At 37.2% G+C, this 27711-nt stretch overlaps 2 long non-coding RNA genes across 5 annotated transcripts in view; one reads left to right on the forward strand and one right to left on the reverse strand.

The window, feature by feature from the left end:
- Positions 1–27702, reverse strand: part of ADGRL3-AS1 (ADGRL3 antisense RNA 1) — a 90011-nt gene extending 62309 nt beyond the window's left edge. The window contains exons 1-3 of the long non-coding RNA NR_110595.1: positions 27684–27702; positions 23260–23322; positions 2603–2693 (exon numbers count right to left, since the gene is read on the reverse strand). This is a non-coding gene — a long non-coding RNA (ADGRL3 antisense RNA 1). The remainder of the gene's footprint in view (positions 1–2602; positions 2694–23259; positions 23323–27683) is intronic.
- Positions 1–27711, forward strand: part of LOC101927145 (uncharacterized) — an 87617-nt gene that overhangs the window by 296 nt on the left and 59610 nt on the right. Inside the window, exons 2-4 of one of the 4 annotated variants that reach the window (XR_001741398.2) lie at positions 3674–3760; positions 8926–9031; positions 11071–15184. This is a non-coding gene — a long non-coding RNA (uncharacterized LOC101927145). Of the gene's footprint in view, positions 1–3673; positions 3761–8925; positions 9238–11070; positions 15185–27711 lie in introns of those variants that run through there. The other 3 variants (XR_245246.5, XR_001741397.2, XR_938809.3) reach the window with 3 other exon arrangements.

Genomic DNA, 27711 nt, shown 5'->3' on the forward strand with positions numbered 1-27711 from the left:
TTCCCTCACTTCAGTGAGCTGCTCTAGCACATTAACTGAACTCAAAGATAAGGTCGTAGAAACTCCGCCTTGAAGCCAGTCAGTCAGAATTTCTAGAGGCCCGAACATGTGACTAGAGGGAAGGAGGGGGAAGTCTTGTGAAACTGAGCCCCCTCGACCTGTGGATTCTGACACACTCTCTGGGTAGATAGTGTCAAAACTGAATTGAAGGACACCCAGCTGGTGTCCATTGTTTGGCGTGTGTGGAAAAACTCCCACACCTTTGGTCACAGAAGTCGTCTTCTGTGTTGATGATTGTGGTGGTGAAGTGAGGCAGAAGAAAAATGCAGTTTGGGAGTTTTTCCCTGAAACACACACACACCATAGAATACTATTTAGCCTTACAAAGAACGAAAATTCTGTCATTTCCGACAACATGGATTAACCTGGAGGATATTTTGCTAAGTGAAATAAGCTAGGTACAGAAAGACAAATGATGCATGACCTCATTTATATGTAGAATCTAAAAATGTGGAACTCAGAGACTAGAGTGATGGTTATCGGGGGCTTGGAAGAGTGTGAGATATGGGAAGATGTTTGCCAAAAAGTACAATGTTTCAGGGGTAAGTTCTCTAATTCTATTGCATAGCAGAGTGATTATAGTTAATAATAACATAAACTTGAAATTGCCAAAAGAACAGATCTTAAAGACTTAACATGGAATATAAGATACAAACCCTTGCATATAATTTGGTTCTTACTTTTTTCCATATAATGCAAAATCCTTCCCCTCAATCTTTGTACAACCCAAACACGTTGATCTCTCATAGTCTCAAAACTGCTGTGTTTTCTCCTGTCCTTCCATTTTCAGAGACTCCCTCTACCATGAGTCCTTTCTCCTCTTCACCAATTAACTTTCCCTTTCCTCCAAGTTTTAATCAATCATGACTTCCTTGGCTAAGCCTTCTGGGACCCCCTATCTTGGTCAGGTCCTTGCATTATAAATTCGAATAATCTCAGTGTGACTAACGCATTACTTATTACAGTGGAAATGCTGTATTCCTTTCTGTGATTATTTGATTAATGTATCTCTTAGTAACTCAACTGTAGGCTCCCAGAGGACAGGAAATATGTTGTATTTATCATCTGATATCACTAGGGCCTTGCAAAGAACCTGCCATGGGTTCAAGAAATATGCTTATTAATTATTTTAACTATTATTTCCTACAGTGTAGGATAAGAATAGCTTTTAATATCTGAGATTATGTTATGATAACACAAAAAAATAAACATTTTGTATAGACATTCACTTCTTGTCATAGAATGATTATAACTTTTTCTCTTAAAGTCTGTTTTTTTTAAAAAAATCAAAATTTTTCTTAAATTATGCCTCTCAGGAGGGTATACCTATGTTTATAACCCCCCTTTCTTTTTTCACGCCACCCTCTGTCATTTCATCTTCAAAAGATCTCTTTTAGTACTGAACCCTAAATTAACCTGATTCCAGAAATCCTCAATTTTGGCAAATCACAGTGCCTTCTTTACCAAGTTAAAGGAAACACTGATTTATATGAATAGATGAAGTCTTTACCATCTCAAATTCCTGTTATAATTAGTTTCAGAAGAACAGATCCTTGTTATGTCTATTTCTATTCTTTTCCTCATCTGTGACAGGGGAATGAGTCATTAGAATTTTAATGTCTGCATTAAATGCCAGCAGTGGTCTGTTGTTATGCTTTAACTACTTCAATATTCTGAATTCTGAATGGCTAATCCATTCTACCTTTTATTATAAGAGAACAGGAATGAGCTGCTAATCAAACAAGAGAGCATGGTAAAGGTCAAATGAGTGCAAAATCATCTGTCTATCATTAAATAATGACAGAATTAGAAGGCTTGCCTTTGTGACTAAGATTGAAATTGGAACATAGAATGTCACCACATGAATCCTCTAGATTGACAGAGAATGTGGTTGAGGGAGGAATGGTAAAGAATTAACTATTTTAAAACAATTTCATTGCATATGAAAATTCTAAAAGAATATGTTCTTTAGCCACAGGAAATGGTTTTTAATAATAATAGTGGTTCGGATAATAATGGAATAGAAATAGAGCATTGTTATAAACTTGTATGAATGCAAAAATTTTTGACTAAACCTTTAAAAAGAAGTCAAGTCCTATTCTTGAAGCAATTCATAAATTTTACCAAGATGGTATGTATATCCTTTCAATTTCATCTTGTGCTTATATTTTTAAATTCAAAAATAATTACTTTGAGTTTGTAAGTTGTAAGATGCTGTTATTGGAACTGAACTGATCTTTATTTCATGTATTGTTTGGCTTCATTTTAATCTTTATACTCAGTTCTTTTTTTCTTGCCCAGAAAGGCTGCCAAATAATACTACTTCAGATTTCTAAATCATCACTTATTTAAATAGACTTTCAAACAAATGATTCTACAAGGTGCTGTTTCTTTTGCTGTTGATTAGGTCAAATTTACTTTTAACTTCTTTCTCATTATTATTCTTTTTTAAATTCAGAGCAATAGGTTTATGCCATTGTTTCAGGAATAAAAGCTATGTGCCAGCCACCAACTTAAATTTTTTTTTAATAAAGATACTCACTTTATGTGTAGATTATTCAGAATAATTGCTTTTCCTTCTGCTGTCTCCTGCAGATTTTATTTGCCTGCTGTATTACTTTTCAGAAACTTCACTGTAGAAAAAAAACAGGAGATGAAACTGCAAGAGTGAAGTTCAGTCTAATGACTAAATGAAGTTTGTGGTGTTATCTGTATGGTTCAGTGTCCTCTGCCCCTTTTATCTTCCTAAGTGTGGATCTTTGGCAATTAAATTTATTTATACCTTTACCAGGTGTTGAAGTATCCACAAGGTCATCTGAAAGGTTCTTTGTTTTATATGGATAACAACCCTAAAGCACTTGACCATTTATCGTAAGTTAGGTTCTTTGGTCTAGCAATTGCTTTATTAGCTAGCAGGCTAAGAGAAAAATTTTTGGGATAATCGATGTTATAGACATGCAGTCATTTGTAACAGCAATAGAAATCTTGGAAGTTCAGAAGCAGTTGTATGCAGAAGTCCAAAATAAATTATTGTTACTCTTACGACAAAAGTAAAGAGCTAAATTAGCTGATCCAGAAGAAAATCAGAACACTGTTCTTAAGGATATAATTTTATAGCTCATGGAAGTTGAAAGGTAGACAACAATCTTATGTGCAAACTAAGAGAAAAATAGAGAAGGTCCAGAAAATAGAAGTCACTATTAAAGCATGTGATTTATAGATCTGCCAGAGGGGACTCTGAGAGTCTCGATTTCAGTGAGATTATCTGAAAAATCTATTCAGAGATGTGCAATGTAGAGGCCAAGAGAAGAGTGGAATAAAATTGATAGAATCCTTCACCTTCGCATGCTCAACACATGACTTAGAGGCTCAGTAAAAGTGCAGTTGGCAGTATTTTAAGTCCATGATATATAAAGGAAGCTGTGTCATTGTTATGAGTTTCCATTAAAAGTGACAAAAATTCACAGTTTAGGCCAGTCAGTTTTTTCAATATTTATGCCTGTAGAGTCTAACACTTTTTTTCTCATTGTTGGGTGGGGGGAACATAATCAAACTCGGAGAATGCTTGAGACCTAGGAGTTTATGTTTACAAATCCAAATTTCTTTTCATCAGGTGTCTTTACATTGTTTTAGTCTTGAACTAGAAGATGAAAGCATCAAATAAAGAAATATACTGTGGGTATATGGATTACAAAAAAAGGTAAGAGAATGAAAAAACAAAAACAAAACATGTGATGTAGTGATAGAATGAGGCTCAAATAGGCAAACATTGCAAGATCTCTGATAATTGCAAATACGTAATTTAATGTGCTATTTCAAACTCGCTGTATTTGACACATGCATAAGATCACCCTACAAGGCCACCCAAGGTTGGGCACAAGCATTTGAAGGTCATCTTTGTCAGTTGCGGCACTTTAAAAATATTAAATTCATTAATTCATTAAAATTCATGTAAGAATAAGAAGCAATCATAAAAATATACTATTTTTATTGTCTTTGAACTTTTAAAGGACTCATAATCAGTGATCACTAAGGAAACAATCTGTCAAAAGAATTGGGGACTTAATATGTTCCAGGCACTGTGCTACTTGTGTAAGTGTGTTGCAAACCATCTGTAATACACACTTAAGACTCTTAAGCAATTATGCTGGGCTTGGTGGCTTACGCCTGTAATCCCAGCACTTTGGAAGGCTGAGACGGGTGGATCGCTTGAGGCCAAGAGTTCCAGACTAGCCTGGCCACACTGGTGAAACCCCATCTCTACTAAAAATACAAAAACCAGCACAGGAGAGGGCTCAATGTGGGGCTTGCGGCTGGACTAGTCATGTTGCAAGTGACTCTCATGGTGGATTCCAGTGTCCAGATGAGGGGAATGTGGTGGTGCCCAGGCTGTGGTGTCTGTGACCCTGAAGCCCCAGACAGGGTGTTACAGCATGCTAATTTGCTCTTTTAGTCCCACTGTCTGCAGCCCGATGGACAGCAGCATGTTAACAGCTCTATCAGCCCCTTGTCCTACTTGGGCCCATGGCTCTGGGGCTGAGCTACTTCCCATTATGTGGGGCAGAGGGCCACAGTGTTGCAGCCTTCTTTGTACCCCTGTTCAGTGGGTCCTCAGTTCTTGCACCGTGTCCAAGAAGAATGAGTTTATGCTGACAATCAAAGGGTGAGGAGGGTGGAAATAACTATCGAGCAATGAAACAGCTCTCAGCAGAGAGGGAATGCGAGGGTGGTACCCCATCCAAAGTTGTGTGGTCTCTCACAGTGTGGCTGGGGTTGAGGCCTTTATGGGCTCAGAATGAAGAGTGAGTGCTGATCAGTTTGTGAGTATGCAAAAAAGATTAAAGCAAAGACACCACTCAAAGGTGGGCATGACATTATAAAAAAATCAATTAGGGAGAGATAAGCATATGTAAAATAGGTGAAGGGTGGGGATCAATCAGAGAAACACATGCAAAATGGGAAGACAGGTTCTCAATCTGGCCCAAGGGTTTACCTGGGACTTGTAGCTAGACTTTAAACTGTCCTTGGCTTGAAGGTCAAGTTTTGCCAGGGACCCACCCCTGTCTGCCTAGGATTTGTCTGCCTCATGCCTCTGTCACTATCCCAAGAATAGCAAAGGGAAACCACCCCCATAATCCAATAACTTCCCCCCCTCACAGGTAGGGATTACAATTCGAGATGAGATTTAGATGGGGTCACAGAGCCAAACAACATCAATATTATTGTAGAATCATGAAGAAAATGGAGCACCTAAAAAGTTAGGAAAGCATAACTGGTAAGAAATTTGGAGTGAGAATGTGGGATAAAATGCAGTACCTTGGCTAATAAAGTAGCTCATCCATGTACTGGCTGAGCACATTAACCCAGATGATTGCCTGTTTTCTCTTTTATTTTCTGTGTAAACTGAGAGAAATCAACAGTTCTCATTCCTATTTAGTCTGGGTAGAAGTGCATCAATAGAGCTTCCACACTCTGTTGTATCAGATTTATCATGAAATGAATAAAATTGTAACTTCTAGTCTCTTCCTTGCATGGGAACCTTCTAAGGCTTTCAAAGACACACTAGGAAAATGTTCACAAGGTCAAGCATTTGTAAAATTTGCAAAACTAAGACACATTTTAACCATGTTTGATTAAGTTACCTGTATCTCCCCTCCCTGATTTCCTCTCTATCACACTTTGCCAGATACTGGGTAGCACTGGAGTGTTTAGGGCATTTTGGGGATCCAAGTAAAGTAGAGTTAAGGGTATATTTGGTTTTTACTCTAGTGGGGTATATTTATATGGCTAACATTTCCTCTAGGTAAAGTTTGGATATTGCTTGTTATTCAAGTGTGAAAATGACTTCTAGGAATCCTCTTACTGGCCATTCTGTTGACTTATCTGGCATTGGTGTACTTCAGTGCAGAGGCAGAGTTTAAATCTTATATGAACATGTATTATATCCCATGACATTCTGCACCAAAATTATGTGATTTTGGACAAGAAGCAAAGTTTGAAAAGTATAGAGCCAGAAGCTAGTCTGTAGAAATATTTCCCAATCCTCAGACATGCAATCTGAAGTTTCAGTTATTGTAAACACTGGTGAAAATGGAACTTCTCTCCTGTCTTGAATTTTCTAAATAATACATATTTACTTGTACAAATGTATAAACCCACTATTGTTTTTGTTTGATGATGAGACTTGTGCTTATAGTTATTTTTATTAGTACTAAAAAAGTGGGTATATCTGTGTATAAACTTACATGTCTTATGCATATTAGCATCTAAGATTATAAGACAAGGATGCTCACTTTCACTGCTTTTATTCATCACAGTACTAGAAGTCCTCACCAGAACAATCAGAGAAGAGAAAAAATAAAAGGCATTCAAGTTAGAAAAGAGGAAGTCAAATTGTCTCTGTTCACTGATGATATGATCTTGTTTCAGGATACAAAATTAATATGCAGAAGTTAGTATTGTATCTATATATCAATAACAATCTAGCTGAGGACTAAATCAAGAAGGCAATTCCATGTACATTAGCTTCAAAAAAAAAAAAAATACCCAGGAATATATTTAACCAAGGAGGTGAAAGATCACTGTAAGAACTACAAAGCACCAGTGAGAAAAACTGTAGACAACACAAATAAATGGAAAACATGCCATGCTCATGGATTGGAAGAATTAGTATTTTTAAAATAAACATACTGCACAAAGCAATCTATAGATTCAACATAACCCTTCAAATTACCAACATATTTTTTTTTACAGAATTAGAAAACAACAATTCTAAGTTCATGTGGGACCAAAAAGAGCCTGAATAGCCAAAGCAATCCTAAGCAAAAAGAATATAGCGGGGAAATCCCATTACCTGTCTTCAAATTATACTACAAGGGTATAGTAACCAAAACAGCACGGTACTGGTATAAAAGTAGACACAGAGATCAATTAAACATAATAGGAAACAGAGAAATAAAGCAACATACCCATAACCAACTGATCTTTGAAAAACTCAACAAACATATACAGAGGCAAAATGACACTGTATTCAATAAATGGCACTGCAGAAGAATGAAACTGAACCCACACCTCTCACCATACAATATGGTTTGGCTCAGTGTCCCCACCCAAATCTCACGGTGAATTGTGCTCCCATAATTCCCACGTATTGTGGGAAGGACCTGGCGGGAGATAATTCGAATCATGGGAGTGGTTTTCCCATACTGCTCCTATAGTAGTGAGTAAGTCTCACAAGATCTGATGGTTTTATCAGGGGTTTCCACTTTTGCATCTTCCTCATTTTTTTTCTCTTGCCAGCACTATGTAAGAGGACTTTTCGCCTCCTGCCATGATTCTGAGGCCTCCCCAGCCATGTGGAACTATAAGTCCAAATAAATCTACTTTTCTTCCCAGTCTCAGGAATGTCTTTATCAGCAGTGTGAAAACAAACTAATACACCATACAAAAATATCAACTCAACATGAATTAAAGATCCAAACATAAGACCTGAAGCTATGCAAATCGTAGAAGAAAAGATAGGAAAAACCCCTTTGACAATGGCATAGGCAAAGAATTTATGATGAAGTCCTTAAAAGCAAATGCAACAACAACAACCAATAAACAAATAGGACATAATTAAACTAAAAAGCTTCTGTCCAGCAAATAAACAGAATAAACAGACAACCTACAGAATGAGAAAAAATATTTGCAAAGTACGCATCTAACAAAGGGCTAATACCCAGAATCTGCAAGGAACTTAAGCAACTCAAGAAAAAATAAATAACCCCATTAAAAAGTGAACAAAGGACATGAACAGATATATATATATATATATATGTGTATACACACATATATAAATATGAAAAAATAACTAAATAAAAAATATACATATATACATATATAAATATATATTTATATATATACATATGTGTGTGTGTGTGTGTGTGTGTGTGTGTATATATATGTATTTTTTTTTTTTGAGATGGAGTCTCACTCTGTTGCCCAGGCTGGAGTGCCTTGGTGTGATCTCAGCTCACTGCAACCTCCACTTCCCAGGTTCAAGAGATTCTGCAGCTTCAGCCTCCTGAGTAGCTGGGACTACAGGCGCATGCCACTGCATCCAGCTAGTTTTTGAATTTTTAGTAGAGATGGGGTTTCACCACGTTGGACAGGTTGGACTAGAACTCCTGACCTCAGGTGATCCACCCGCCTTGGCCTCCCAAAGCACTGGGATTACAGGCATGAGCCACGGCGCCTGACCAGAACAGATAATTTTCAAAACAAGACATACAAGTGACCAAAAAACATGAAAGAAATGCTAACCAGGTTGTTAACCAGGATGCAAAGAAAACTGAATGCTTATACACTGTTGTTGGGAATGTATATCATAACAACCTTTATGGAAAACAGTATGAAGCTTTCTCAAAGAACTAAAAATAGAACTGCCATTAGATTCAGCAGTCTCACCACTGGGTATATACCCAAAGGAAAATCTATATATACCATGGAATACTATTCAGCCATAGAAAAGGATGAAATCATGTCTTTTGTAGCAACATGGATGGGACTGAAGGCTATTATCCTCAGTGAAATAACTCAGAAAGTCAAATACAGCAAGTTCTCACTTATTGTTGGGAGCTAAACAATGGATACACATGGACATACAGTGTGGCATAATAGACCCTAAAGACTATAAAAGGTGGGAGGGTCAAAGTTGGGAGAGTGTTGAAAAACTACTTACTGGTTACAATGTTCACTATTCAGACAATGGGTACACTAAAAGCCTAGACTTGCCCTATACACAATATATACATGTAGGAAACTTGTAACTGTACCCCCTAAATATATACAAATTAATTAATTACAAAAAATATTATGTTGTAGTGTTAACTGGTATATCTTGTCTTGGGAAAATATGGCAGCTCCTATGAAACATCTCGGAAAATTTGTAACTGATGTTACAAAACACCCAGAAGAAATAAGTGGTCTGGTGAGAAAACTTACTCATCTTTGCCTACATATGTATACATGAGTAATTTGATTACACATTTGTGCGGGATAATATAACTGAAAAGAAAATGTAAAATTTAACTTAAATTGTATTTGTAAGTTGTAATTTCATTAATTCTGCATTATTGAAGTACATGTAGGAAAGGTGCAGAAATGCATCAGGCAGTTAATACAAATACGTTTTTTTTTTTTTTTTTTTTTTTTTTGAGATGGAGTCTCGCTCTGTCACCCAGGCTGGAGTGCAGTGGCGTGATCTTGGTTCACTGCAAGCTCCGCCTCCCAGGTTCACACCATCCTCCTGCCTCAGCCTCCCGAGTAGCTGGGACTACAGGCGCCTGCCACCTCGCCTGGCTACTTTTTGTATATTTAGTAGAGACGGGGTTCACCGTGTTAGCCAGGATGGTCTCAATCTCTATACCTCGTGATCCGCCCACCTCGGCCTCCCAAAGTGCTGGGATTACAGGCATGAGCCACTGCGCCCAGCCAATACAAATATGTTTTGCTCAATTTTGTAATGTTTATGCTACCATCAGTTTTTTGAAATATGTAACTTTTACTTTTTTTCTTAGAGTCCTCCAAATTATGTTTCAGGCTCCTTAAAAACTTTTTATCTATCCCTGATAAATATTCCTCAATAATAATTTTAAAAATCCATTTGGTTAAATGAACATGAACTCTAAGTCTTTTAACCAGAAATAAGCTATTAGGTTGATGCAAAATATTTGCATTTTTTGCCATTGAAAGTAGTGGCAACAAAGAAATAAAATTGTATTTTTGGAATAGTTTTCTCTTAAGCTCTTGATAATAAACCTGTAAGTATTAACTGCCTTACAAATGGCAAAAGAGGCCACTTGAAGGAAAGGAAATTCCTTAACAGGACTTTCCTTAGCAGGAAAGTTAGTTGCCTGGGTCATCATTTGGATAAGAAAAAAATCCATTAAAAAATGGCAGTATTATTAGTATCATATGCATAATTACATATATAAAACTTGCCATATATTGTGTGAAATATAGTTCTTTAGTATAGGAAAAATATATTGATATCTATAAAGGTAAAATTATTTTAACTCTTTCACATACATGTTATTTGATAAAATTTGCTTTCGTGTTTTTTCTTTGTCAGGTTTCATTGATACTCAAAATTCATTTCCTTTGACATAGCTCAGGAGATTTGTTAGTAAAAATCTCACCCAAATTCATAAGAATTTTCCAATAAAATATTTCAGAAATGAAACATTTTGAAAGAATTGGTCAATTATCACTTTCTGCTAGATAGAGCATGATAGTTTGGTGTATATTTTAATATATCAGTGATATAGTTTGGATATTACTCCCCACCCAAATCTCGTGTTGAACTGTAATCCCCAGTGTTAGATGTGAGGCCTGGTGGGAGGTGTTTGGGTGACAGGGGCAAATCCCTTATGTCTTGGTGCTGTCCTCTAGATAGCGAGTGAGTTCTCTTGAGGTCTGGTTGTTGTAAAGTGTGGCACCTCCACTCCCAACTCTCTCTCTTGCTCCTGCTTTCGTCATATTAAGTGCCCACTCCTGCTCCACCACCTGCCATGATGATAAGGTTCCTGAGGCCTCCCCAGAAGCAAATGCCATTGCCAAGCTTCCTGTACAGCCTGCAGAACTGTGAGCTAATTAAACCTCTTTACTTATAAATTACCCAGTGTTGGGTATTTCTTTATAGCAATGCAAGAAAGGCCTAATACAGAAAATTGGTACTAGGAGTGAGGCATGGCTATTAAGATATCTGAAAATGTGAAAGCAAATTAGGAACTGGGTAACAAGCAGCAGTCCAAAGAGTTTGAATGGCTCAGAAGACAGGAAGATGAAGGAAAGTTTGGAACCTCTTAGAGACTGGTTAAGTGGTTGTTACCAAAATGCTGATTGTGATATGAACTTTGAAGTTCAGGCTGCTGAGGTCTCAGATAGAAATCAGAAATGTATTGGGATCAAAGATTATGCATATTATTTCTTAGTAAACAGCTTGGCTGCATTGTGTTTATGCCCTAGAGATCTGTGGAAGTTTGAAGTTGAGAATGATGACCTAGAGTATCTGGTGGAAGAAATTTCTAAGCAGCAAAGTGTTCAAGATGTGGCCTGGATGCTTCTAACAACCTATGCTCAGATGTAGGCACAAAGGAATGACTTACATTTGGAACTTACATTTAAACAGGAAGCAGAGCCTAAAAGTTCAGAAAATTTGCAGGCTGATCATGTGGCAAATAAATAAAAACCTTTTACAAGAGAGAAACTCAAGCAGGCTGTTGAGCAACCATTTGCTAGAGATATCTGCATAACTGAAAAGGAGCCAAATGCTAATAGCCAAGACAATGGGAAAAAGGTTTCAGTGACATTTCAGAGAACTTCCTGGCAGCCCTTCTTACCACAGGCCCTGAAGCCTAGGAGGACTGAATGGTTTTGTAGGCCAGGCCCAGTACCTTGCTAGCCTGCACAGCCTTGAGACACGGCTCCCCAAATTCTGGTCACTCTGGCCCCAGCCTCAGCTCAAAGGGGCACTGGTAAAACTTGGGCCATCACTTCAGAGGACACGAGCTATAATCATTGGCAGATTCCACATGGTGTTAAGCATGTGGGTGCACAGAGTGCAAGAGTTAAGAAGGCTTGGTAGCCTCTGCCTAGACTTCAGAGGATGTATAGAAAAGGCTGGTGTTCAGGCAGAAGGCTGCTGCAGGAGTGGAGCCCTCACAGAGAACTTCTAGTAGAGCAGTGGGGAGGGGAAATGTGGGTTTGGAAGCCCACAGAGTCCCCAGTGGGGTATTGCCTAATGAAGCTGTGAGAAGGGGGCCACCATCATCCAGAACCAAGAATGGTAGATCCATTGGCAGCTTGCACTCTATGCCTGGAAAAGCTGCAGGCACTCAGCTGTAGCACTTGAGAGGAGCCATGGGGCTACATCCTGCAAATTCACAGGGGAAGAGCTGCCCAAAGCCTTGGGAGCCCACCCCTTGCATTAACGTGCCATGGATGTGAGGCATGGAGTCAAAAGAGATTATTTCAGAGCTTTAAGATTTAATGACTGTCCTGCTAGTTTTCGGACCTGTGTGAGCTCTAGTCCCTTTCTTTGCCTGACTTCTTTCTCTTGTAATGGGAATGTTTACCCAATGCTGGCACCCTCATTGTATCTTGGAAGTAAATGACTTGTTTTGATTTTACAGGCTCACAGGTGGAAGGAACTCATTTTCAGATGGGACTTTGGACTTGGGACTTTTGATTGAGTTGTTGCAGAAATGAGTTAAGATTTTGGGGAATTGCTGAGAAGGCATGATTGTATTTTGCCATGTGAAAAGAATAGGTAATTTGGGGGAAGACAAGGGTAGAATGATATAGTTTAGGTATTTGTCCACACTGAAATTTCATGTTGAATTGTAATCCCCAATGTTGGAAGTGTGGCCTGGTGGGAGGTGTTTAGGTCATGGGGGTTGATCCCTCATGTCTTGGTGCTGTCCTCTCAATAATGAATGAGTTCTCTCAAGATTTGGTTGTTGTAAAGTGTGGTACCTCCACCCCCAACTCTTTCTCTTGCTCCTACATTCACCATGTCAAGTACCTGTTCCCACTTTGCCTTCCACCATGATTGTGAAGTTCCTGAGGCCTCTCGGAAAGCAGATGCCAGCACTATGCTTCCTGTACAGCCTGCAAAACTGTGAGCCAATTAAACCTCTTTTCTTATAAAGTACCCAGTCTCAGGTATTTCTTTATAGCAATGCAAGAACAGCCTAATACAATCAGTAAATATGTCAGATTCTACAATGAGGCTACTATAATGTGAAGATATTTTTCTTAATCATTTACATTTACAAATAGACTAAAATTCTTGTTTTATGTTATTGTCTTAGTTCATTTTGTGCTGCTATAACGGAATACTACAGACTGGTAATTAATAAACAACAGAAGTTTATTTGGCTCATGTCTCTGGAGATTGGGAAGTCTAAGACTGAGGGGCCTCATCTAGTGAAGGTCTTGCTATGTCATAACATAACATGGTGGAAGTCATCACATGGTGAAAGCATGTGTAAAAGAGGAAGACAGGAGAACTCATACTCTTATCAGGATCCCACTCCCACAATATCTAGCCCTCTCCCAGGATAACAGCACTGATTATCTTAGAAGGGTCTCAACTCTCAGGACTGTTGCATTGGGGATTACATTTCAAACACGTGGATCTTGGGAGACACATTTAAACCACAACAGTGATGTTTTGAATAATAAATATACATCTACAAATGTGTTTCTTCCACCTGGCAATGCCTTCTTCTGATAGTTTTATTCTGCAAATTTCAATTATTCAAATAAAATTTCCTCATTGGCCCTCTTTAACACTTTTTCCTCTGAAATCTTATATTACTTGTTGCTTTACAAATACTCTTTAAAAATTATTCCACACTGGTATCTAAATTCTTCCTTTTTTCCCAGTCTTATCTTCCCAATTGGCTTTTAATTTCCATCAGGAAAGGATCCATGTGTTTTGACTTCTTGGTACTGCTCACAGTAATACGTAAATAATTAAGATTTAATATAATTGGGTTTAATTTAATTTCATGTAGATTCCAATTGATTTTTCCAATTAGATGTGTGAGATTTTTATTCATTAAAATACGCAATTATACTAGCATCCATTTTTACTTGTCCAAAGAATGAGCTAAGATTTAAGTTATATTTTGCGATCTTGAGATACATTTCATATGCTCTTCGTTGAATCACTTTTCTATTCATCTTCAAATTCCAGCTATAAAATATGATATGCAATTGTCTTAGCTCAGATTGATCACAAATCCTTGTTCTACAAGATACCATGTATTCATATATTCATAAAAATATCAACAGAAATAATATATTAATAAATATTTAAGTATGTAATTTCAGAAAGAGATGGTAATGTATCAGGACAGATTTTAGTTAGGAGACACAATATGCTTATCCGAGCACAAAGTTGGTTTTTATCAATTGATGTTAGTTTTTGATTATATACTATATGTAAGTTCTCTATTTATAATTATAATTTTCTCATTAATAATAATAATAAATCATACCTATATTGTACCTTGAAATTATCAAAGCCCCTTTCATTTCCACCTCATTTTCTCTCTTTCTCTTTTTCTCTTTCTTTTTCCCTGTTCTTTTAGTCTCTGTCTCTCCTTCAGAAAAAATATCAGTTACTTAGCAGGACATATATTATTGTTTCCATGTTACAGGTTGGAAATGAAATTTCAAAGGAATAAGTTATTTTTTATGGTCTTATAGCTAATAATTATTAATAATTGATATATGTAGGATTGGGATCCCAAGGTTTAACTCCTAATCATGTGACTTCAGACAAAAAAACGTAGAAATAACAGTTTTTCTGGATTGTTACATGGGGTCTTAGGCAATTTGAGTCATTATAACAAAGTACCATAAACTGGGTAGTTTTAAACAACAGAGATTTATTTTGCAGAGTTCTAGAGGCTACAAGTCTGACATCAGGGTGCCAGCATGGTTAGGTCCCAGTGAGGGTCCTCTTTTGAGTAGATTGCTGCCATTTTATTGTCTCATCACAGGGTGAAAAACAATGTGAGCTAGCTCTTTGGCCTATTTTTATAAGGGCTCTAATCCCATTCATGAGGGTTCCACCCTCATAATGTAACTACTTCCCAAAAGCCCTATCTCCAAATACCAGGATACTGGGGATTCGATTTTAACATATGAATTTTGGGGGAAAATGAACATTCACTTTATAACACATAGAGAGTGAGGTAGTCTGGATAAATGATCTAGCGTGTTCACTCATAAATGTTATTTTCATGCTCCTTTTCTAAGCCTTTTCTATTATAACAGCAATGCAGTTTGTAACTTTAAGAATTATTCCATGTAGAATGTAAATTGATATAGCCATTATAGAAAGCAGTGTGAAGGGTTGGGCATGGTTGCTCATACCTCTAATCCCAGCACTTTGGGAGGCCTAGGTGGGAGGATTGCTTGAGCCCAGGTGTTTGAGACCAGCTTGAGAAACACAGAAGGGCCTGGTCACTACAAATAATAAAGGAAAATTAGCCAGGCATGGAGATACATGCCTGTGGTCCCAGCTAGTCAGGAGGCTGAGGTGATAAAGGCTGCAGTGAGTTGTGATCGTCACCACTGCACTCTAGCTTGGGCGACAGAGTGAGACCCTGTCTCAAAAAAAAAATCACCAAAACCAACCAACCAAACAAAAAAACACACAACAACAAAAACAGTGTAAAGTTTCCTCAAAAAATAAAAAATACAACTACCATATGATCCAGAAATTCCACTACTATTTACCCAAAGGAAATGAAATCAGTACTTTGAAGAGATATCTACATTCCTATGTTTATTGCAGCAGCATTCACAACACACAAGATATGGAATCAACCCAAGTGTCCACCAGTGAATGAATGGATAAAGAAAACATATATAGGCAATGGAGTACAATTCAGCTGTAAAAAATAATGAAACCCTGTCATTTTCAGCAACATGAAGGAAACTAGAGGACATGTTAAGTGAAATAAGCCAGGCACAGAAAGACAAATAGCACATAATCTCACTCATTGCGGAATCTAAAAAAAATATACATCAATAGAAATAGAGAGTAATATAGTGATTTCCAGAGGTTGGGGAGGGTTGGGAAAGAGGGAATGGGGACAGATTGATCAATGGGTACAAAATTACAGTTACGTGGGAAGAATACATTTTGGTGTTCTATAGCACAGTAGGGTGAATATAGTAAACAATGTTATGGTGTATATTTCAACTACAAGAGAGGATTCTAAATGTCTCATCACAAAGAAATGATAAATGTTTGAGGTGATGAATATGCTAAATACCATGCTTTGATCATTATACAATGTATACATGTGTTGAAACATCACACCGTACTCCATAATATGTATAATTACTATGTGTGAATTATAAACAAAATATCATTCCATGTAATGTGAGGAAATTGTTTCTCTTTGAAAAAAATGTAGCTATCAACAATACTGGTAAAAGCAGATGAAGAAGCAAAATATCAAAAACCCATAATCCTGCAAGAGCCTTAACAAGATTAAATATTTGATTATTTCTAGGACACAGGACCTTTTAAAACATTTCCTGTTGTTCTTTGGATGGTCCACTGTGGGTAGTTTGAAACAGTCTACGAGACTTCTCTCTGTATCAAAGGAAGCAATGAGATCAGAGTAAAAATATCAGAGAAAGATTTTTTAAAATGAATTAAGGAAGGTAAATCCAAGCAGAGTTTTTATAACATTCACAAAAGCATGTAGCTTTGTGTTAAATCGTGTTTTTAAAAAATATTCTCTTCTTGCTTCGTATCTTTGAGTCAGAAAGCTGGATGTGTGTCTAAACAAACTAGGCAATGCTAATACCAAGAATCCCGGAAAATGTGCTAAATTCACTATTCTATGTAAGTTTGCTCAGATGGTGGAGAAAGTGCATTAACCAGTACTGCAAACTGAATCTTTTGTGTGTGTGTGTGTGTGTGTGTGTGTGTGTGAGAGAGAGAGAGAGAGAGAGAGAGAGAGAGACAGAGAGAGAGAAACAGACAGAGAAAGAGAGAGAGAGAAGATATTTGAAAAAAATACAAGAAATAAAGAAAGAAATATTCAAGGAAATAGATAGCATGAATGAAAAGCAATCTAAACTTCAGGTAGCAATGAACACACTTACAGAATGCAAAAGGCTCTGGAAAGTCTCAGCAATAGAATTGAACAAGTAGAAGAAAGAATCTGAGCTCAAAGACAAGGTCTTTGAATTAACCCAATTCAACCAAGACAAAGAAAAAAGAATAAGAAAATACAAACACAGCCTCCAAGAAGTCTGGAATTATGTTAAATGACCAAACATAACAATAATCAGTGTTCCTGAGAAAAAAGATGAATCTAAAAGTTTGGAAAACATATTTGGGGGAATCATTGAGGAAAATTTCCCCATCTTTTCTAGAGGCCTAAACATCCTAACACAAGAAGCACAAAGAATACCTGGGAAATTCATCACAAAAAGATCATCACCTAGGCACATTGTCATCAAGTTATCTAAAGTTAAGATGAAGGAAAGAGTCTAAGAGCTGTGAGACAAAAGCACCAGGTAACTGTAAGGAAAACCTATCAGTTTAACAGCAGATTTCTCAGCAGAAACCCTACAAGTTAGAAGCGATAGGAACCCTATCTTCAGCCTCCTCAAACACGACAATTATCAGCCAAGAATTTTGTATCCAGTTAAACTAAGCTTCATATATGAAGGAAAGATATGGTGTTTTTCAGAAAAACAAATGCTGAGAGAATTGGCACTACCAAGCCACCACTACAAGAACTGTTAAAAGGAGCTCCAAATCTTGAAACAAATCCTGGAAACACATCAAAACAGAACCTCTTTACAGCATAAATCTCGCATGACCTATAAAACAAAAATACAATTTAAAAAACATAAACAAAAATTTAAAAACCAAGGTATACAGACAACAAATAGCACGATGAATGGAATGGCACCTCACATCTCAGTACTAACGTTGCCTATAAGTGGCCTAAATGGTCCACTTAAAAGGTACAGAACTGCAGAATGGATAAGAATTCACCAGCCATCTACTGCCTTCAAAAGACTCACCTAACACATAAGGACCCATGCAAATTTAAGGTAAAGGGGCGAGGAGGGGAAGACATTTCATGTAAACAGACACCAAAAGTAAGCAGGAGTAGCTATTCTTATATCAGACAAAACAAACTTTAAAGCAACAATAGTTAAAAAAGACAAAGAGGGACATTATATAATGGTAAAAGGCCTTGTACAACAGGAAAATATCACAATCCTAAACATATGTGCACCTAACACTGGAGCTTCCAAATTTATAAAACAATTACTAATAGACCTAAGAAATGAGATAGACAGCAACACAATAATAATGGGGGACTTCAATACTCCCCTGATAGCACTAGGCAGTTCATCAAGATAAAAAGTCAACAAAGAAACAATGGATTTAAACTGTACCTTGGAACAAACGGACTTAATGTATATGAAACATTCCATCCAACAACCACAGAACATATATTCTGTTAAACAGCACATGGAACTTTCTCTAGGATAGACCATATGATAGGCCACAAAACAAACCTCAATAAATTTAAAAAAATTGAAATTATACCAAGCACTCTCTCAGACCACAGTGGAATAAAACTGAAAATCAACTCAAAAAGGAACCTTCAAAACCATGCAAACACATGGAAATTAAATAACCTGCTCCCAAATGATAATTGGGTCAAAAGTGAAATCAAGATGAAAATTAAATATTATTCTAACTGAATGACAATAGTGACACAACCTATCAAAACCTCTCAGACACAGGAGAGGTGGTGCGAAGAGGAAAGTTCACAGCCCTAAATGCCTACATCAAAAAGTCTGGAAGAACACAGACAATCTAAGGTCACAACTCAAACAACTAGAGAAACAAGAACAAACCAAACCCAAAACCAGCAGTAGAAAAGTATTAACCAAGATTAAAGCAAAACTAAATAAAATTGAAACCAAAAAAAGTACAAAAGATAAATGAAACAAAAATCTGTTTCTTTGAAAAGATAAATAAAATGGATAGTCCATTAGCAAGATTAACCAAGAAAAGAATAAATAAAATCCAATCGAGCTCAATAAGAAATGAAACGAGACCACTGAAATTACAACTGACACCACTGAAATACAAAATACCATTCAAGGCTACTACGAACACCTTTATGTGCATAAACTAGAAAACCTAGAAGAGATGGATAAATTCCTGGAAAGTTACAACCCTCCTAGCTTAAATGAGGAAGAATTAGATACCCTGAACATACTAATAACAAGCAGCAAGATAGAAATGGTAATTGAAAATATTACCAACAAAAAAAATCCAGGGCCAGTTTGATTCGCAGCAGAATTCTACCAGATATTCAAAGAAGAATTGGTACCAATTCTACTGACACTATTCCACAAGATAGAGAAAAAGGCAACTCTCCATAAGTTATTCTGTGAAGCCAGTATCACCCTAGTACAAAAATCAGAAAAGGACATAATCAAAAAAGAAAACTATGGACTGATATCTCTGATGAACATAGATGCTAAAATCCTTAACAAAATACTATCTAATCAAATCCAACAACATATCAAAATGATAATCTAACATGATCAAGTGCGTTTTATACCAGGGATGCAGGGATGGTTTAACATATGCAAGTTAGTAAATGTGATACACCACATAAACAGAATTAAAAACAAAAATCACTTGATCATCTCAATAGATGCAGAAAAAGCATTTTACAAAATCCAGCATCTCTTTATGATGAAAGCTCTCAGCAAAATTGGCATACAAGTGACATATCTCAGAATAATAAAAGCCCTCTATGACAAACCCACAGCCAACATAATACTGAATGGGGAAAAGATTGAAGCATTCCCTCTGAGAATTGGAACAAGACAAGGATGCCCACTCTCACCACTCCTCTTCAACATATTACTAGAAGTCCTAGCTAGAGCGCAGACAAGAGAAAGAAATAAAGGGCATCCAAACTGGCAAAGAGGAAGTCAAACTGTCGCTATTTGCTGATGATATGATTGTTTACCTAGAAAACCCTAAGGACTCCTCCAGAAAACCCCTAGAACTGATAAAAAAAATTCAGCAAAGTTTCTGGATACAAGATTAATGCACACAAATCAGCAGCTCATCAATACACCAACAGTGACCAAGCTGAGAATCAAATCAAGAACTCAAGAAATCTCCACACTGTTCAAATCAAGAAATCAAGAGCCCCTTTTACAATAGCTGCAAAAAATACAACAACAACAACAACAACAACAAACTTAGGAATACACCTAACAAAGGAAGTAAAAGTCCTCTACAAGGAAAACTACAAAACACTGCTGAAATAAACCATAGATGATACAAACAAATGGAAACGCATTCCATGCTCATAGATAAGTAAAATCAATATTGTGAAAATGACCCTACTGCCAAAAGCAATCTAGAAATCCAACACAATTCCCATCCAAATACAACCATCATTTTTCATGGAATTAGAAAAAAATCTAAAATTCACAAGGAACCAAAAAAGAGCTCTCATAGCCAAAGCATGGCTAAGCAAAAAGAACAAATCTGGAGGCATCACATTACCTGATTTCAAACTATACTGTAAGGCCATGATCACCGAAACAGCATGGTACTGGTATAAAACTAGGCACATAGACCAATGGAACAGAATGGAGAACCTAGAAATAAAGCCAAATACTTACAGCCAACTGATCTTCAACAGAGCAAACAAAAACATAAAATGGGGAAAGGATACCCTTTTCAACAAATGGTGCTGGGATAATTGGCTAGCCACATGTAGGAGAATGAAACTCGATCCTCATCTCTCACCTTATACAAAAATCAACTCAGGATGGGTTAAGGACTTAAATCTAAGACCTGAAACTATAAAAATTATAGAAGATAACATTGGAAAAATCCTTCTAGACGTTGACTTAGGCAAGGATTTCATGACCAAGAATCCCAAAGCAAATGCAGTAAAAACAAAGATAAATTGCTGGGACTTAATTAAACTAAAGAGCTTTTGCACAGCAAAAGAAACAGTCAGCAGTGCAAACAGACAACCCACAGAGTGAGAAAAAATTTTCACAATCTGTACATCTGACAGACGACTAATATCCAGAATCTACAGTGAACTCAAACAAATCCATAAGAATAAAAAAACAAACAATCTCATCAAGAAGTGGGCTAAGGACATGAATGGAAAATTCTCAAAAGAAGATATACAAATGGCCAGAAAACATATTAAAAAATGCTCAACATCACTAGTGATCAGGGAAATGCGAATCAAAACAACAATGCGATACCACCTCACTCCTGCAAGAATGGCCATAATCAAAAAATAGTAGATGTTGGCATGGATGTGGTGATGTGGGAACACTTGTACACTGCTGGTAGGAATGTAAACTATACAACCACTATGGAAAACAATGTGGAGATTCCTTAAAGAACTAAAAGTAGAACCACCATTTGATCCAGCAATCCCCCTACTGGGTATCTACCCAGAGGAAAAGAAGTCATTATATGAAAAAGATACTTGCATATGGATGTTTATAGCAGCACAATTCGCAATTGCAAAACCTGACACCAGCCCAAATGCCCATCGATCAACCAGTGGATAAAGAAACTGTGAGACATATAAATACACACACACACACACACACACACACACACACACACACAATGGAATACTACTCAGCCATAAAAAGGACTGAATTAATGGCATTCACAGCAACCTGCAAGAGATTGGAGACTATTATTCTAAGTGAAGTAACTCAGGAACAGAAAACCAAACACTGTATGTTCTCACTGATATGTGGGAGCTAAGCTAAGAGGATGCAAATGCACAAGAAGGACACAATGGACTTTGGGGACTCAGGGGGAAAGGTGGAAGGGGGTGAGGGATAAAAGACTACAAACATGGTGTAGTGTATACTGCCCGGGTGATGGATGCACCAAAGTCTCACAAATCACCACTAAAGAACTTACTCATGTAACCAAACACTACCTGTCCCCCAACAACCTATAGAAAAAGAATTTTTTTAGTTAAATTAAATTAAACAGAAAAAATTTAAAAAATAAAAACAGAAGCCACAGGCCAAGTGCAGTGGTTCACGCCTGTAATCCCAGTACTTTGGGAGGCCAAGGCAGGTGTATCACTTGAGGTCAGAAGTTCAAAACCAGCCTGGCCAACATGACGAAACTCCCATCTCCACCAAAAATACAAAAATTAGCTGGGCGTGGTTGTGCATACCTGTAATCCCAGCTACTTGGGAGGCTGAGGTACGAGAATTGCTTGAACCTGGTGGGGGCAGAGGTTACAGTAAGCCGAGTTCACGTCACTGCACTCCAGCCTGGGTGACAGAGTGAGAGTCTGTCTCAATGAATAAATAAATAAATAAGCCACAGAGAGACACACAGGAAGAAAGGCCATGTGAAGATATAGAAAGATTGAAATTCTGCATCTATGAGCAAAGAAACATTAAAATTACTGGCAGACACCAAAAGTACATAAGAGATGTAGAATAAATTCTCCCTCAGAGCCTCCACAAGGAAGCAACACTTCCAACACCTTGATTTTGGACTTCTGCACTCCAGAAATGTTAGATAATACATATCTCCTAGTTTACATCACTTAATTTGTGCTAATTTATTATGGCAGCCTTGGGAAACTAATACAGACTCATGATGCCTCCATGGCAGCCATCCAAATGTTTGCTCTGTTGGCTTGCATGTGTGAGTTCTTAAGAGAATCCTAGAGAGTTTCTCTACTGCATTTCCCAGGTCTGGAAGGTCACCCTTAAACTTAACTTTCCCTTCCTCTTCATTCCTGTAACTTGGAGTATATCCAAAGCTCATGCGGATGTCATCCTCTTGTCTTGAGGTAAATTTTAATATATGGTGTGCAGTTCTGGCAAGAAAGTTTAGTCCTTTGGTGGCATCCCACTGATCTTTGAGAAACTCAGAAATTCTCAAAGTGCCAGATGTAAAAAACAGGTTGCTCTATTCCCTTCACTTCTGTAGCTGTCTCCAGTTTTCTTGCTCTGCTCTAGGAGATCTACTGTCTAACAGACAACTAACTAGGAGGATGGTATGCCAGGCTTTCTTCTTGTCAGAAATCCATTTCTAAAAGTGTCATATGTTTTCCAATTTTTTGAGAAGCAGCTCCCCTGTCCCTTTGGGGATGGGAGTTAATAATTTTTCTCTAAGAGCTTATAGTTTCTACAAGAACAACAACCTGATATCTTTATCTCCTTAATTCCATACTGACTCACCTTCTTTCCTGGATTGGGAAGGAAAGTGGCATTGTAGCTGGTGGTAGAGTTAATGCTGGTTCTCCAATCCCATAAATTCAGGAGTAAGTGTGGGGGAATGCAATGCTTGCCTTAACTGTTAACCAGCTTTCTTTAAAACGTTAGGTAGTTAATGCCTCATTGTCCTCAAATTTGGGCCAGGGTTACTGATTCTTGGGCACTGGATTACATTTCCCTTAACCACTAGCTATACATGCTTAACACAAAATCCCTCCACTAGCATCAGATGAGTTTGTGGGTTTGGAACTTTAGAGTGAAAAAGCACTTAGCAAGATTTGATTTCACTATATATTTGACATTCAACTCAACTGTTCAACTTACCTTTTTGTGAGGTGAGGGAATTTGACTAAAATCAGCAATTGCTTACCCAAACGATTTCAGGAGCTAGAAGGAAAAGTAAATGCAGGAAGTAATTATTTTGAATGGGGACTGTGACCAGTTTGAGAGTGGTAATACCAACCTGAGTCGTTGAATTTTAGGCCTTCTTGAAGCGAGTTTCTAAGCTCTGAGAGATGTTTTAATGTCCATTCCACATTTAAATGTCCATATATCCACTCTTTATGGGCAGGTAGATAACATATGAGGGCATTTTTCCCTTGTCATAATGTTTGGGAGTGGGTGCTACTAGCCATTTTAGTAAGTAGGGATCAGAAATGTGATATATGCAATTGTCCTTTGTCTCCCATGATTTTCAAATGATACATAAGGTATTAACGCAGAAACTGTTCATATTAACTTGAGCATAATCCAAATTCTGCTTTATATAGAGCTTAGATAGACAGACAGAAGAGTAAAGTATTTTGCATATTTTCCAGAAATACAATTGCTATTTATATTGAGTAACTATTGCACTTTATTTTGTTTATTGTTTTCCATCATTATCTAGATTCAGCCACCCTTTCAGAAAATCATTTCAGCGATAGCAAGTTGCTGATAGAATTTGAGTCCATAACACTTCACACTTAAGTCAGGCAGCATTTGTAGTTTTTAACTCATGTGATTATACAGATAGAGGTCAGCATCTGACTATTTCATACAATCTTCTCATGTAGTCATGCCTGAATATACATAATGAACTTCAGATTTCTTCTTAATGAACTGCTTTCTTGTTATTTATACTTAAATTTCAGATAAGGCATTATATAGACTTTTTCAAAAAGCTATTTGTGGGAAGATCTTTATATCCATGGTCTTCATTTCAGGTGGTAAAGCATTTATTACAAAGTACTTTTTATAAAAATGGAAAATTGTTTTGATAGCACTGCTCTATATCCACTGTCAGAGGTCTACAAAATCTCAGAGGTCATCAATATTCTAATGTATATATATACACACATATATCAGTCTTCACCTATCCCTTGGCCATATTCTTTAACATGTTATGGTTCTCAGGCTATAATATTCTCTTAGTCACCAGGGGCCTAAAGTAATCTGGTTTTACTTGTAGCATAGTAAAAACTTCAACCTGAGACTGACTGCCAGAGGACCTATTCATTTGATGGTTTCCTGAGTAGGTACAGTTTTCAAGTCTAGATTTAATATGAAAGAAGTATAGCCCCCTAAATATTGTGTATGGTTATTTGTAGATATATTCAAAATTATTGTTTTGCCATGATTAAAATATTTATGAGACTGAGGAGATTTTAAAATTTAAACTAATAAATTGGATCAACTCACTGTTAACTGGTAAAGCATTTTCATCATTATAAAGAGAATGCATCATCTAATTTTCAAATGTTTTATCTTTCTAATTGAATTTCTAATTAGCACATGCTAGTAAAATGAAAATATTAATGAGATCCTCATAGGTGCTTAATATAGTGATATCAAGTACTATCATACATATGTGTGTATATATACATATATATGCATGTGCATAAGTTCTGAAGAAAATTTTTATTATGCAAGATAATTAAGTGTCATTTGACATAAAAATTTTGCAAAGAGGTAAAAAGTGGCATAAAATTAAAGAAAGTTAATTATCTGATCTTTCTCCTTTCGGCAATTTACTTTCTTTTGTCCACAGATCAATCATCCTAATGCTCATTTCTTTAATTCCCTTTAATTACAACTGAGAAGTAAGCAAGTGAGATAGTAATTTCTACTGAAATTTCCATGCTTAATCTGCAAATGTAGTGAGCACTGATATAGTCAAGGAACAGTGTGGCTGTTGTGAGAAATAGAAAATGGAGGACAGGAATTATACTCAGTTTCCCCCATTATTCAGCAATAATAGAAAAAGTTAATTTACATTTTCTTCTTTAAAATGTACATTTTAAAATTTCAATACATTTATTGAATTGAGCAACAAAAGTAATGTGTAGGGTAGGCATTTCTGTAACTTTTTCTCCCTATTTTGTATTTTCATTTTTCTGTATTTTTTCTGTAAAGTTTTGTATATATATAAACTAAACTAAACTAAACTTGGAGGTTGAAATAAAACCCAGATTGACACTGTATATAGACAGCAGTACAATCCAGAAGGAATCTCTTTATATGGTCAGTGAGAAACATTTCTATTTTTAACACTACTAAGGGGCTCCACTAATGAAGTTTGTCTGGCAGAGGATGTGACCTCAGTATTTTATAACACAGAAATTTCTCCTCAAGGTAGAAAGCTGGCTCGAAGAAACCTGTGACTGTCATGTCCCTGAGGGGTGCTTTAGAGTTCATAGCTTCAGGATATCTGTGAAGTTCTGAAATTGCAGGCAATAATTTAAGCATTAGTCCCCATGTTTGTGTGTGTGTGCATGTGTGTGCACACCTGCATGATACTTTGGGGGGAAGTGGCCCATTTGGTATGATCCAGTTCTAAAATATGATTATCCATGACCCCCTCAAAGCTTAAGATCCCCTGAAATTTCAGCTTTCTGCTTTTTTGCAGGCAAAGATCTAATTTCTCCTCTCTTTTAAGTGAATTATCCTGCCCTTTAACAAATAGTGGCGATACGTTATTTTGGTCTTTACAATCCAGGAACACTATTGGTTTTGACAGGCTTTGCTCAAATAAAGACTAGTTTCACTTCATTTCCAAGGCATTCAACTCTACCCAAGTGACATTTGTGAAAGCCATATATTTCATTTGTGCATTCCAATGATTTAATTTAGTAAGCTCAATAAGCTTATCTCTAGTCAAAGATAACATGGCATTTATGACTGTAGAGTGCGTGATTGAATGGGATTCTTCCTGCTTCAGTTTCAACTTAGACTCCATTTTGTTGTTATCAGACACCAAAGATCCCGTGAGAAAAATTGACATATGGAGATTTTAAAAGACACTGGTTGAAACTCTTAATTCCGGAACTCTTTCACGTACTTAGGAAATACGCAAGAGAGTCATGGTCTCAAGAGAAGGTTTTAAGAAAGGGGTTATTAAAACTATTGCTTTGGAGAGTGCACTTCACATGCAGGCTGTTCCATCCTCTTTTGGGGGAGAGGCATTAGGCAGGGGTTTACTTTCCAGTCCCAATATTGAAGAGGGTGGGCTTCTAGGCATCCAATTGAAGATCTTTGAAATAGTCAAAAAACCTTGAGGATAAGTGCCTGATCCCAACAAAGGAAGCTAAAGCAGTTAGTGTTCTGAGGTCTTTTCTTCCCAGGAGGTCCAGGAGAAGAGAGAGGGTCTGACTAACAGTGCTGGTGGCTGAGCCGGGAGATGCTGCTATGTTGAGATTGGTTCACTTTCTCCTAGCTTGTCAGGACACCGGATGTGTGTCCTGATTGTTTCTGGTGAATTGGATGTGGGCTATGTGGTACAGGATCCTCTTGGGCCTGTCCATTTGGGATCTCAGGAGGGATAAGGGCTGCAAGTGTATTGCGGGATGCCCTTGGACAAGGGAAGGGTCAGAAGAATCCACATATAGACACTGATACGCCCAAGACAAGGGAATTTCAGACAAGAGGAGGAGCAGGGAACTATTCCCAGGCTCCTATAATCAAAATCATGAGACAGAGAGAGTAGATTTTAATCATCTGCCAAGTTTATGAAGAATACCAGCTTCACTGATCTACTCTGTCCAGATAGCACAAAGCCACCCAAAGTAAATGTGGCACAGAGCCAAACAGCAGCTTGCAAGTGCAGGAAGAAAGGGAACTGCAGAGAGTAGATAGTAGAGGCACCAGATACCACCTTAGCCCATTTTCCTCAAGCATCTAATTGGGGAAAAAAGAGATTTAAGGCTACATCAAGATTGGAATATTTTGAGTATCTATCTTGTAATGGACATTCTAATTACTGGACTGAAAGGCATTTGCAAACTAAAGTGATCATATTGTGATATATTCCCTAAGAATGTGCAAAAAAAAAAAAAAAAAAAAAAAACCTTGGGACCTACCTGAGCTTCTATTCAGGGATGGGGAAGATGGCCTGTATGTCTTTTCCTAACCTACCATCCCCTAAGTGGGAGAGAAAAAAAAAAAGGTTGTACTTTATTCATATCTGAAGACCAGTCTGATTATCATATGAGTTACACTGCTTAACAGAATCCAAGCAGTAAATACTATGATTGATAATTGTGGTGATTAATACTGAATGTCAACTTGATTGGATTAGAGGATGCAAAGTATTATGCCTGGGTGTGTCTGGAGGGTGTTGCCAATGGAGATTAACATTTGAGTCAGTTGACTGGGAAAGGTAAACCCATACTTAATCTTGGTGAGCACAATCTAATCAGCTGCCAGCATGGCCAGAATAAAAAGCAGGCAGAATAACATGAAGACTAGACTGGCTTAGCCTCTCCGCCTACCTCTTTCTCCAGTGCTGGATGTTCCATG

This window comes from Homo sapiens, chromosome 4 (genome assembly GCF_000001405.40).
Source record: "Homo sapiens chromosome 4, GRCh38.p14 Primary Assembly".
Lineage (NCBI taxonomy): Eukaryota > Metazoa > Chordata > Mammalia > Primates > Hominidae > Homo > Homo sapiens.